This window comes from Homo sapiens, chromosome X (assembly GCF_000001405.40).
Source record: "Homo sapiens chromosome X, GRCh38.p14 Primary Assembly".
In the NCBI taxonomy this organism is placed as follows: domain Eukaryota; kingdom Metazoa; phylum Chordata; class Mammalia; order Primates; family Hominidae; genus Homo; species Homo sapiens.
Genome location: NC_000023.11, coordinates 147,874,645 through 147,885,971, shown reverse-complemented (window position 1 = coordinate 147,885,971; position 11,327 = coordinate 147,874,645). Strand labels below are relative to the sequence as shown.

Here is an 11,327-nt window from a genome sequence, read left to right as displayed (position 1 = left end):
TATGATAAAATAAAACAAAAATTTATTTAAAAAATAAAGTTTTAAAATAAAATTTTGATCCACCAACAACTGATTTTTGAATAGGGCATATGGTTTGATATCCAATTGTCCCAGAGCCGAATTTATCGAATAATCTATCCTGTCTCTGTAATACCACTCCTTCATATATCATTTCTCTACCATGCTGAGTCTGTATTACTCACATTTACATTCTGTCAAGAGATACTATCAAAAAGTTGATACAAGGCCAGGCACAGTGGCTTACACCTGTAATACAAGCACTTCGGGAGGCCAAGGCAGGTGGATCACTTGAACCCAGAAGTTTGTGACCAGCCTGGGCAACATGGTGAAACCATGTGTCTACCAAAAGTAAGAAAACTAGCCAGGCATGGTGGTGCATGCCTGTAGTCCCAGCTACATGGGAGGCTGAGGCGGGAGGATCACTTGAACCCAGGTGGTCAAGACTGCAGTGAGCCCTGACAGCATCACTGTACTCCAGCCTGGGTGACAGAGTGAGACACTATCCAAAAATAAAAATAAAAATAAAAAAATAAAAAAATCAACACAACTAGAAATGGAGATGTAAGTATAATATGTCAAGTAAGAAGGGGCAAAACACCAGAGTGCAATGCAGTAAGACTAGGCATTTGAGGCCTTAAAAGTTGCAATTTGGGAGACACGGATTTGGCTAAGAGCCAAATTGTTTTCCAAAGACAGGAAGGAGAGTAGGAATTTTTCAAAGGATGCCGAGAGTGATTGCACAAGTTGTTTTGAAAGAATTATCATTGGTGGAGGTGGCTGGCTTAGTACATAAGTCCATGGTACATTGGTTGTTGCTATGCAGGAGTTGCAGTGCTGGTGAAATTCAGCTGCTTTCTAAGATGTGGTCATTGTAGTTTAGCCCAGTTCAAAGGTTCAAGGCAAGTTCCTGTTCCTTTTTTTTTTTCCTGCAGGGTTTCATGTTGTGTAGGTAGTAATAGAGTGGCTTCTTGACTCCATTTTAGAGCTCTGAACCAAGTGATACTGTTTTGTATATCACATTTCACATTTCTTCATTTTGATAAAGATTTGATGTGAGGAAGCATTGCTGATAAACATCAGTTGGTCAGCCAAAGATTTGTTATCTTTTTCCCTTGGAGGTAGAAACGCCTGTTTCATAAGGAGGTCTGCATTAGTCTATGGTGATTAGCTGTATGTCAGGAGAAGGGTATAACTGATTAACCATGTCTGTAGGTCATTACTCAGTTTTCTTTTCTGAAATAGATTGTGAGATTTCAGGGATAGGATAAAAGGGAAGTTTACAAGGCATGGTGGGGCACACCTGTAATTCTAGCTACTTGGAAGGAAATTCTAGAGAGAGTACCTCCTTGGCCATGGAGTGGGAGGAACAAGACAAGGTTAGATGGACTTTGATTCTGAGGACTTATAAAATTGCTAGCCTAACGTCCTATTTCTGATGCCTTTCAATTTTCAAAAGCATTCAGCATGCCAAAGTGCCATATTTTGGAAAATCATGTTCTGCAGCCCAACATTCTCTTTCCTGAAACTTCCCTGGACGTTTTACACACTAAAAGCTGAGTTGGTGGCTGTGGAGAGAAAAATTGAGTTTATAGCTGAGTGGCAAAGGATACCACTAAACTGGTCTATTTCTGAGAATAGGCCAGTGAATTAAATAGTTGTGTCTCATTTCAGGAGACGGTGTTGCAGTCAGGCTCTCTCAAACTGAAGAAGAAGAAAGGTTAATGTTTGGAACCCTTTTTTTTTTTTCTTTTTCTTTTTGAGACGGAGTCTCGCTCTGTCGCCCAGGCTGGAGTGCAGTGGCGCGGTCTCTGCTCACTGCAAGCTCCGCCTCCCGGGTTCACGCCATTCTCCCGCCTCAGCCTCCCTAGTAGCTGGGACTACAGGCGCCTGCAACCACGCCCGGCTAATTTTTTGCATTTTTAGTAGAGACGGGGTTTCACCGTGTTAGCCAGAACGGTCTCGATCTCCTGACCTCGTGATCCTCCCGCCTCAGCCTCCCAAAGTGCTGGGATTACAGGCGTGAGCCACTGCGCCCGGCCACGCCCAGCTAATTTTTTGTATTTTTAGTAGGGACGGGGTTTCAGCGATTAGCAAGGATGGTCTCAAATCTCCTGACCTCGTGATCCGCCCGCCTCAGCCTCCCAGATGTTTGGAACACTTTTTTTTTTTTTTTTTTTTTTTTTTTTTTTTGAGACGGAGTCTCGCTCTGTCACCCAGGCCGGAGTGCAGTGGCGCGATCTCGGCTCACTGCAAGCTCCGCCTCCCGGGTTCACGCCATTCTCCTGCCTCAGCCTCCCGAGTAGCTGGGACTACAGGCGCCCACCACCACGTCCGGCTAATTTTTTGTATTTTTAGTAGAGACGGGGTTTCACCGGTTTGGAACACTTTTTAAACCAGTTTCTTTAGAGTTTGGGGGGCAATCAGTTGAAGTGCTAGATGTTAGACTCAAACCATCTTCAGTTAAAGTGGAAGTAGGCAGTGGCAATCTGTCACATTTTTCTGGTCTGTAGTTTGTGTATCACAAGGTTGTTTACATGTGAACTTCAGCTTGCAGGGCCTCAGGAGCAAGCTGCAATTTCACTGAGTCCAAGTCAGAAAAATGGAAAGATATGAAAATGTTAGTTTGGAGATTTGTAGCTAGGAAAGAATTCAGGATTCAGTCCAAATTGTTGTAATCAAATAATAAAAACTCACAAACAAAGGACAAGGCTAGAATCTAATAACGTGTACTATAGTTTTCTTCTGAAAAATAATGTATCTCTCTTTAGTCTCCCATTTCTACCAAAGCTGAAACATAGGAGGACCAATTTATTTGCAAAATAACTTTTAGTCTTAGTATACTTTGCCTGATTGTTTGCAGTAAGAGTAGTGATCGGCCATATAGGCTATTTTTTAGTTGGCCTTGCTGGAACTTTTAAATAAGAAATCCCAGAATAGACTTTTAAAAGCCTCTTGAGGCTAGGACACTAAGCGAAGGATTCATCTTCAGACTGGGCTTGTAATACCTGTGTGAATTTCTCTCTTCTTGAGGTCCCCAAAATATCTGAGGTAGCTTATTCTGTCAGAAAGTGACAACTTTTACTTACCACAAGGTCAGGAACCCTGTAAGGGAACAGTGTAGATATGGTACCCGGCCAGTCTTTTTCCAAGTCTGTTGGCTTTAAAGTAAACTGCAATTCCTCAAAGCAGCCTGGTCACATTTGAAAATATGACACAAAATTACCAGTCAAAGCTTTTGTAATATAACCAGTGTTTTCAATTGTGTCCTGTTAAAGAAGAAAACATTCCTATGAGGTAAATGTTTCCATTTTCTTACAAAACTATATTTCACCCAATTACTCTAAGCTATGAATAGCTTCAGAGGGAAAAAGGTTTCTTGATTCTAGAAAACAAAACAGAAAAAGAATCATCCATGTTTAAGCAAAAAGTCATGAAAAATCATTTCAGCCCTTCATCACTTTAGTCTCATGTTCTTGTTCTACTTGATGTTAGGTTAGCAATTTTCCAATTTTATGTCTAATTTTTCATTAGAGTTTTCTTTTTAACTTTCTACCCCCCAGTCCAATTGTGTAATCTCAAAGTCATAAGCAGAGGACTGTATTTCAGATTACCTATCAGTCTTTCCCATGAACTTCCTTGAAGACACATCACTTTAGAATGAACAGAGAGCTTTTAGAAAAAGAGCATCAGAATTAAGCAATTTACTGAATATACCAAGATATATAATATTTTAGGAATCTCATACAATTTTGGAATACATTAATAACATATCCATATGAATATAACTCAAAGAAAGTTAGACATCACTTTTTATTTGACAATGCTTCCCATATAATTTTAACATACCAAATAAGCCTAATATGTCTCTCTTGGACTTCCAGGGGCTCTTTTTGGAATGTCCAAATATTTAGTTCAAGCTTAAAAAACACTTAATTTAGAATTTGAAATTTGATTTTGGGATGTTTGTCAAATATTAAAGGTTTAAAACACTTGATATCAAAATAAGATCACAAGTCACTATAAAATATTAGTCATTCATTTAGTCAAAATGATAATTAAAAGATTTCAAAAAGTGAAAAAAAACCCTTTACTATTTGATAGAGAGGAGATCAAGTTTTCCAAACAATCAAAAGACCTAATAAAGACAGCATGAGGCAAAGTCTTCTTCCTTTTTTACTGAAAAGGTGAACAAATATTTTACCATTTCTTATTAGTACTACATGAAAATCTTGTTCAAAAGAGAAAACCAAATTGTACTTTTCATCAGTGTATTATTAACACTAAAGTTAATTTAATAAAATATAAACAAATCCATCTAATCTCAATCAGCTTTGACTACAGAAAAGATTTGCATGAACATTTTATAATCTCTCACAATTTTTTCAATTCTCTTTCTTTCCCCAATTTTTTATATCCATTCAGTTTTTCCTGTCATTCTTTTTTATCCTTTCAACTTAAAGGAGCCTTCAAATAACCTCTAAACTAGAAAAAAAATACTTTTCCTTTAACAAAAACCACATTCTCAAGTTGTGTGTGTGTAGAAATGGGGTCTCCCTATGTTGCCCAGGCTAGTCGTGAACTCCTGGGCTCAAGCAGTCCTCCTGCCTCAGCCTCCCAAAGTGCTGGGATTACAGGCATGAGCCACAGCATATGGCTTCATGTTTTTCTTATAACCTTCCTCACCCAAAACACATCCTACATTCTTTGTACACTCTTTATATAGAATTATTTCTCTTATATCTAGTAGTTTTAATTACATATATTATCTACAATTTTAACTCTAGTAACCCCAATTTCGAGTGAGAAAGCTAGGAAGTAAAGCAATTTTAATTGTTATGTATCAAATGCAAAGCCCAGGACAAATGACAGAGCTGCGAAGACAGTTAATGGAGGATCTATCCCCTTCCAGCATGGCCAGGAGGCAGAGCTGGGCCAGGGAGGATGTATCGGGCTTGACTCTACCCTGCAGCTGGTGGTCTAGGTGCTGTGGAAGCCTCACCATGACCACCTGTCTAGACTCTGGAATCTAAAGGCTCAAAACCAAAGACATATGCTTAAAGACAAATCAAGCAATTATCAAAAATATCACAGAAACAAGTTTTTTGACCTTAAAACATTTAGCAGAAACAACATACATTTGTTTGACCAGTAGATTAAGATAAAGAAGTCTAAAACTCTGAAGACATTTCTATTTTATTTTACCAACAATTTAAAAATCTGCTTTTTATATCAAAGGTTACTAAAGTCATATGAATTTAAAAATTTTGAGATTATTTAATTTATGAGTACTCATTTATTTATAAGTCAACTCAGTACCATGTAGACAATATACAAACACAGACATATACACATTTATACATAATATACAAACACAAATAAAGATTTTATAGCTTTTTTGCTAGGCTGTTTTATAACGAAATACTTGAGACTGGGTAATTTATAAAGAAAAGAGATTTCATTGGCTCATGATTCTGCAGGCTGTACAGGAAGCATAGTGCTGGCATCTGCTCAGCCTCTCGTGAGGCCTCAGGAAGCTTTTACTCATGGCAGAGAGCAAAATGGGAGCAGGCATTTCACATGGCAAAGCAGGAGCAAGAGAGAGAGTGGGGGAGGTGCCACACACTTTAACCAACTAGATTACAGGAAAACTCAGTCACTATCCTGAGGACAGCATCAAGCCATGAGAGATCTACCCCCATGACCCGAACACCACCCAGCAGGCCCCAATTCCAACATTCGGGATTACAATTCAACATAAGATTTGGGTAGGGAAAATATGTAAACTATATTTGCTTTTATTTTAAAATTTTAGTCATGAGACAGATAAAACTCACTAGTTTAAAAGGACAGTTAGATTAATTTGTGCCTCTGTAAATGAAACAAGTTAAAGATTGTCTGGGCTGGGTGCAATGCCTCACGCAGGAGGGGGTTCACTTGAAGCCAGGAGTTCAATACTAGCCTGGGCAACAAGGCAAGACCCCGTCTATACTAAAACATAAAAAATAAAGAAATTAGTTAGGCATGGCGGTGTGTGCCTGGAGTCCCAGCTACTTGGGAAGCTGAGGTGGGAGGATAGTTTCAGCCCAGGAATTTGAGGTGACCCTGAGCTAGGATCATAACATTGCACTCCAGCCTGGGTGACAGAGTGAGACCCTGTCTCTAAAAGAATAAAAAATAAAAAATATTTTTAAATAAAGTTTATTTGTCCCGCATGGTTGAAGTGCTTATTGAGTTTTAGAGAAACCAGGGTTGCAAATTTACATCTCAATGCACAAAGAGAGAATTTAAGCTTTTTGAAGAAAGAATTTGGGTATGTTAGAGGAAAATTAAAATGAATACTAAGGTAACACAAAATCATTGAGAATCACCAGAGGATTTTATAAGGAGACCAATTTTAGTTAGATAGGTGGCTTTTAATTTAGTCTCCATTTTAAAACTGGACCACTGACCTCAGGGTAGAGCCCATTAATGAATAGCGCAAACAAAACATTTGCAGCTTTTGAGGTCTTTTCACTTATATAGTGAAAAGCAGAAGCAGTAGGAAGGCAAATCGTCTAGATCCTCAGAAATCAAGAACCTCATTTTTTACAGTGAATCCTGGGACCTTAAAAAAAAAAAGGAAATGCCACAGGACCAAGCTGTGCAACACTTCCACAGGGTACCTCACGGCACCTCACGGCAAAGGTAACCCAATGTCAATCAGCCCACTCTGTGATCAGTTCATCCCCCATGGGAGTCTTATCCCTTGATGATGTGATGTAGCCATAGCCTCCAAGTTTCCAAACCTCACTTTTCTGATCTAAATGCACAAACAAATGAATAGCCCCATACAGTAATAACCATCCATTGTAACTGCTCTCAGCCACCCCCCAGAATTGCAGCCTTTGCTGGTGACCCACTAGCTATCACACACACAAAGATTAAGTTTTCTCTCACAGTACGAAGTAATTCCTGGTACCCCCAGAAGTTAGAGAGATCACGGAATTTAATGCAAAACAGCAGAGCCTTAGAACTGAGAGGAACCTGTCCACAACTCTTGGGGATCCATGAGAAAAATATATGACCCCGAAAAGGGGGTGTGTGGCACTTTTTCTGTGTTCCTTAAGGGGTCTTAGAGCTGCTAGAAGTCCTGTCTAGATTTCTTTATGTGGAATTGAAGATGGCAAAAAAGAAGGAGGAGTAGAAGTGAAAGAAAATGAAATAACAAGTCTTAGATGTACCAATTTGGATATTTTAAGCTTTCCAGAAGGGCCAATGAAGATTTACATTTTTCTTAGCAAAAATCATGTGAAAAAGATAAAAAGGAAACAGAATAACCAATCACATAATTAAAAGGGGGTTTCAGTTGACTGAAAAGTAAATCCCACTAGCAGAATCCAAAAGAGAAAAAGTAGAAGGAACTTTTATTTTTTAAAAAAGTATTATAGTCTGAATATCAGCTTTTAATTAAGCTGACTTCTGACCATAGAGCTTTTTTTAAAAAAAAAAAAAAAATTTTAAATCTCTCATGATGAAATTTTAGCTGGGACAAACAGCCAATATTTTTGGCTTTCAAACTTCCCCCCCGAAGTTATCTTTCAAATAACTCACCAAAACCAAAACCCCTTAACTAAGGTTATGACTTAAATAAGAATGCGTGAGACATCTCCAAAGAGGTGCAAAGCAGTCCTCACAAGATCCAGAGGCATCTCAAAGGCAGCTAAATAAAATTTTGCCAGCCACAAATAAAGTACAACCCATATTTCTTTCCTGCCAAATTCTCTAGGATCTCAGCTTCTCAGCAGACCATCTACACACAAAAGTCAACCATCCCTTGTGCCCCATATATAAAAGATTTTAAAAGTCAGTTAGTGTCTTAGTCTATTTTGCATTGCTATAAAGGAATACCCGAGGTTAGGTAATTCATAAAGAAAAGCAGTTTGTTTATCTCACAGTTCTGTAGGCTGTACAAGAAGCATGGCACCAGCATCTGCTTCTGGTAAGAACCTTAGGAAGCTTACAATTATGATGGAAAGTGAAGAGGGAAAAGGCGTGTCACATGATGAAATAGGGAGCAAGAGAGGGGAGGTGTGCCACGCTCTTTTAAACAACTAGCTCTCACGTAAACTAATAGAACGTGAAATCACTCATTACTGTGAAGACACACCAAGCAATTCATGAGGGACCTGCCTTTATGATCCAAATACCTCCCACCAGGATCTATCTCCAATATTGGGGATCAAATTTTGAAATATATTTGGAGGGAACAAATACCAAAACCATATCAGTTGGTAAGACAGAAAATCAAAAGTTGTCCATAGAAGGAAAAAGGATCAATAACAAATTAGTACCCCAAAATGTTGAGTCACACAAATATCAAATGAGTTTTTAAGTAAATGTTTCTCCTGATTTAAAAGACTTACATCAGCAGGGAATGGTTTCCTGATTGGGAATTAAACCAGGGCAAAAGCAGTAAAAGTGCCAAATCCTAGCCACTAGACCATAGGATGGAATGCCCGTTCTGTGTAAATCCCACAGGGAACCCAAAGCAGGCAGTGTGAGCATACAAAGGATTTTGACTTTGTTTGAGATCAGATCTTTGCTCTTTAATTTTGTCAGAATTTGTAAGGCTAGCCATGACATTATTATGTGTCTTAAATTTTTTTAATCCTCCCATAAATACAAATAATTATTTAGAATGAGAAATCTCTGAACTATTTTTCAAATAAAGGAGTCTTTCTAATTGAAAGGATTCATCTTTTGGCCACTGATGATTAGAATCTGTAATGGTGTTCCTATTCCAATAGTGACTCCCTCCAATAAGCCCCTCCATGGAGCCCAGGAGATAATTTTTCCAGTTTAGAATAGATTTTTACCACATAAGCAAGAGGGTGTAGAGGGTAGTAGCGGGATGGAAGGGGTTCACTAGGAGCGGGAGGCAACACAGGACAAGGACAAACAGAGGCATGCACAATTCCAGATTTGTTTTGTTATTATTAATAGAAGCTTCTACTTTTTTTTCCCCCAGTTTAGGGTCTTTGAGCTCATTTGGTATTGTTACCACTTAGGGACACTAGTTTACATTCCTGGAGTATTTTAGCTGCCGCATGATACCAAATTAAAGTAGATGTGCCATTTGGGCTGTTTAATCTTTTAATATTTCTTTTTAGCCCTTCTAATTTGTCCATGGAGGAAAACAAGTTTCAGGAGATCAAAAAATCCTCAGGTTGGCCATTATAATTCCAAATCATTTTTAGTAATGTTGATCCATCAAGAAAGAAATTTATAAAATGAAGGATCATAATTTTTTTTTTGTACAAAAACCCAGCAGGGCTTCCAAAAGGGAATGACATAACCTATACCCTTAGAAGCAAACGTCTCTATGAGTACTAACAAAAAAGGGAAAAATTCCTTTGTCGACAGCCAGCAACAAAAGACACTCAATAAAAGGCTGAACTTAACCGAGGAGGGAGGTTCAGGGACACAAGAGGACTCACCAATGAGGTCCTGGGCTGTTGGGGAGACGATGGAACACAAAGGGATCCTACAGGTACCATGCTTGAATCCATGGCAGTGCCAGAACGCAGGGGAAAGTTGCGTTGTACCCCACTCTATTCTGACACCATTTAATGTCAACCAAGAAGAGGCAAAAGACCAGACAGTAAAGCAGTAAGACAAAGTGTTTATTGGGGTCTTAGGAATTGCAATTCAGGAGACACAGATTGGGCTAGAAGTGAAATTGTGTTCCAAAGAGGAAAAGGAAAAGGAGAGTAGAGATTTTTAAAAGAATGCTGATTGTGCAAGTTGTTTTGAAAGAATTATCATTGGTGCAGGTGGCTGGCTTGGTACGTGAGTCCATAGTTCATTGGTTGTTGCTGTTCAGGAGTTGTAGTGCTGTTGAAATTTGGCTGTTTTCCAAGATGCTGTGGTCATTGCAGTTTGGCCCAGTTCAAAAGTTCAAGGCAAGTTTCTGTTTTGTTTTTGTTTTTTGCAAGGTTGCAAGCTGTGCAGGTAGTCCTTTTTAGAATGGCTTTCTGACTCCATTTTAGAGCTCTGAAGCAGAGTGATACCATTTTGTATATCACATTTCACAAGTATTTAAAGTTACCTAGGCAACCAGGGGAAAATTAAAAATAACGAAGATCAAAAATCAGGAAGATGAGAGAGGACCAGAGGGATTGTGTGAATTAAGTGCTTGTTTTTCATATCAGGACTATGAGAGTCTCAACAGATACAAATCATGAAATAGCGGTCTAAGCACATCATCCATGCTTACAGAGAGCTAAAAGTACAAAACAGTAAAAATTGACTGCTTTAGAGAGTGGGTTCAGGGTTGCGGAAGAGTGAGGTTGGAGAGAGTCTGGGCCTTTCATCATAGGATTTTCTGTACTTTTTGGTACCATTTGCATTCATTACTTTGATAAAATAAAAATTAAGACAGGGAAAGTAGCAGTTTGTTACATGTTGAATAAGCTGTATTAGTCTGTTCTAATGCTGATAATAAAGACATACCTGAGACTGGGTAATTTATAAAGGAAAAATGTTTAATTGACTCACAGTTCAGCATGGCTGGGAAGGCCTCAGGAAATTTACAATCATGGAGGAAGGGGAAATAAACATGTCATTCTTCACATGATGGCAAGAAGTTGAAGTGCTGAGCAAAAGGGGGGAAAAGCCCCTTATAAAACCATCAGATCTCGTGAGAACTCACTATCACGAGAACAACATGGGGGTAAAACCCCCCATGATTCAATTACCTACCACTGGTTCCTTCCCACGATGGGGATTATGGGAACTACAATTCAAAATGAGATTTGGGTGGGGACACAGCCAAACCATATCATAAGCCAGTATGTCTGAATTACCGTAGTTCACTCTTAACTGATTGTGAAGAGAAGTAAATTTGATTGCCTTTTAAATATTAAAATACAAATTATTTTTATAAATACTAGATTGTAATTAGACTTAGAAGTTTTATTATGCTAATGGATTGGATATTTATACAAATGACATTTCCTTATATTGTATTTTATATGCTTAAAACTGGTTTCATCTGAAGAGATCCTTACTGATTATAAGGAGATGTTATTTTATTAGGTGGCTGGTATTTTCAACCTTTACATTAAATAAGTGTGGCTCTCAGACAAGATTAAACAAGATTAAAAAAAACTGGACATTTTTGTGATAATTAAGCGTGGTAAAATACATACCCTTGAGTTAATCTGTTTATACCAAACTTAGAACACATCCATTTCAGAATCTGGCTTGATAGATTCATAATTATGCAAAATATTTTGCCTTCTACTTTTGCACCTGAAAATTTAAAA

At 38.3% G+C, this 11,327-nt stretch overlaps 1 long non-coding RNA gene across 4 annotated transcripts, besides 1 other annotated feature; it reads right to left on the bottom strand.

Annotated features, from left to right (window-relative positions):
- Positions 1–9,754, bottom strand: LOC105373349 (uncharacterized). 4 transcript variants are annotated; one of them, XR_938516.2, is made up of 3 exons: positions 7,954–8,021; positions 3,108–3,287; positions 1–1,254 (listed from the first exon to the last, which is right to left on the bottom strand). It is a non-coding gene; the product is annotated as an uncharacterized LOC105373349 (long non-coding RNA). The 4 variants fall into 4 exon arrangements; XR_001755971.2 differs by lacking the exon at positions 7,954–8,021 and adding an exon at positions 9,498–9,754 and having other exon boundaries at positions 502–1,254; XR_007068345.1 differs by having other exon boundaries at positions 502–1,149.
- Positions 1,800–1,978: a silencer, noted in NCBI's record as "fragment chrX:146965512-146965690 (GRCh37/hg19 assembly coordinates)". NCBI's record gives its function as "represses an EF-1alpha promoter that drives an FKBP-Casp9 reporter gene in an ReSE screen in K562 erythroleukemia cells {active_cell/tissue: K562}" and the evidence as "EXISTENCE:reporter gene assay evidence [ECO:0000049][PMID:32094911]".
- Positions 9,755–11,327: the final 1,573 nt, after the last annotated feature.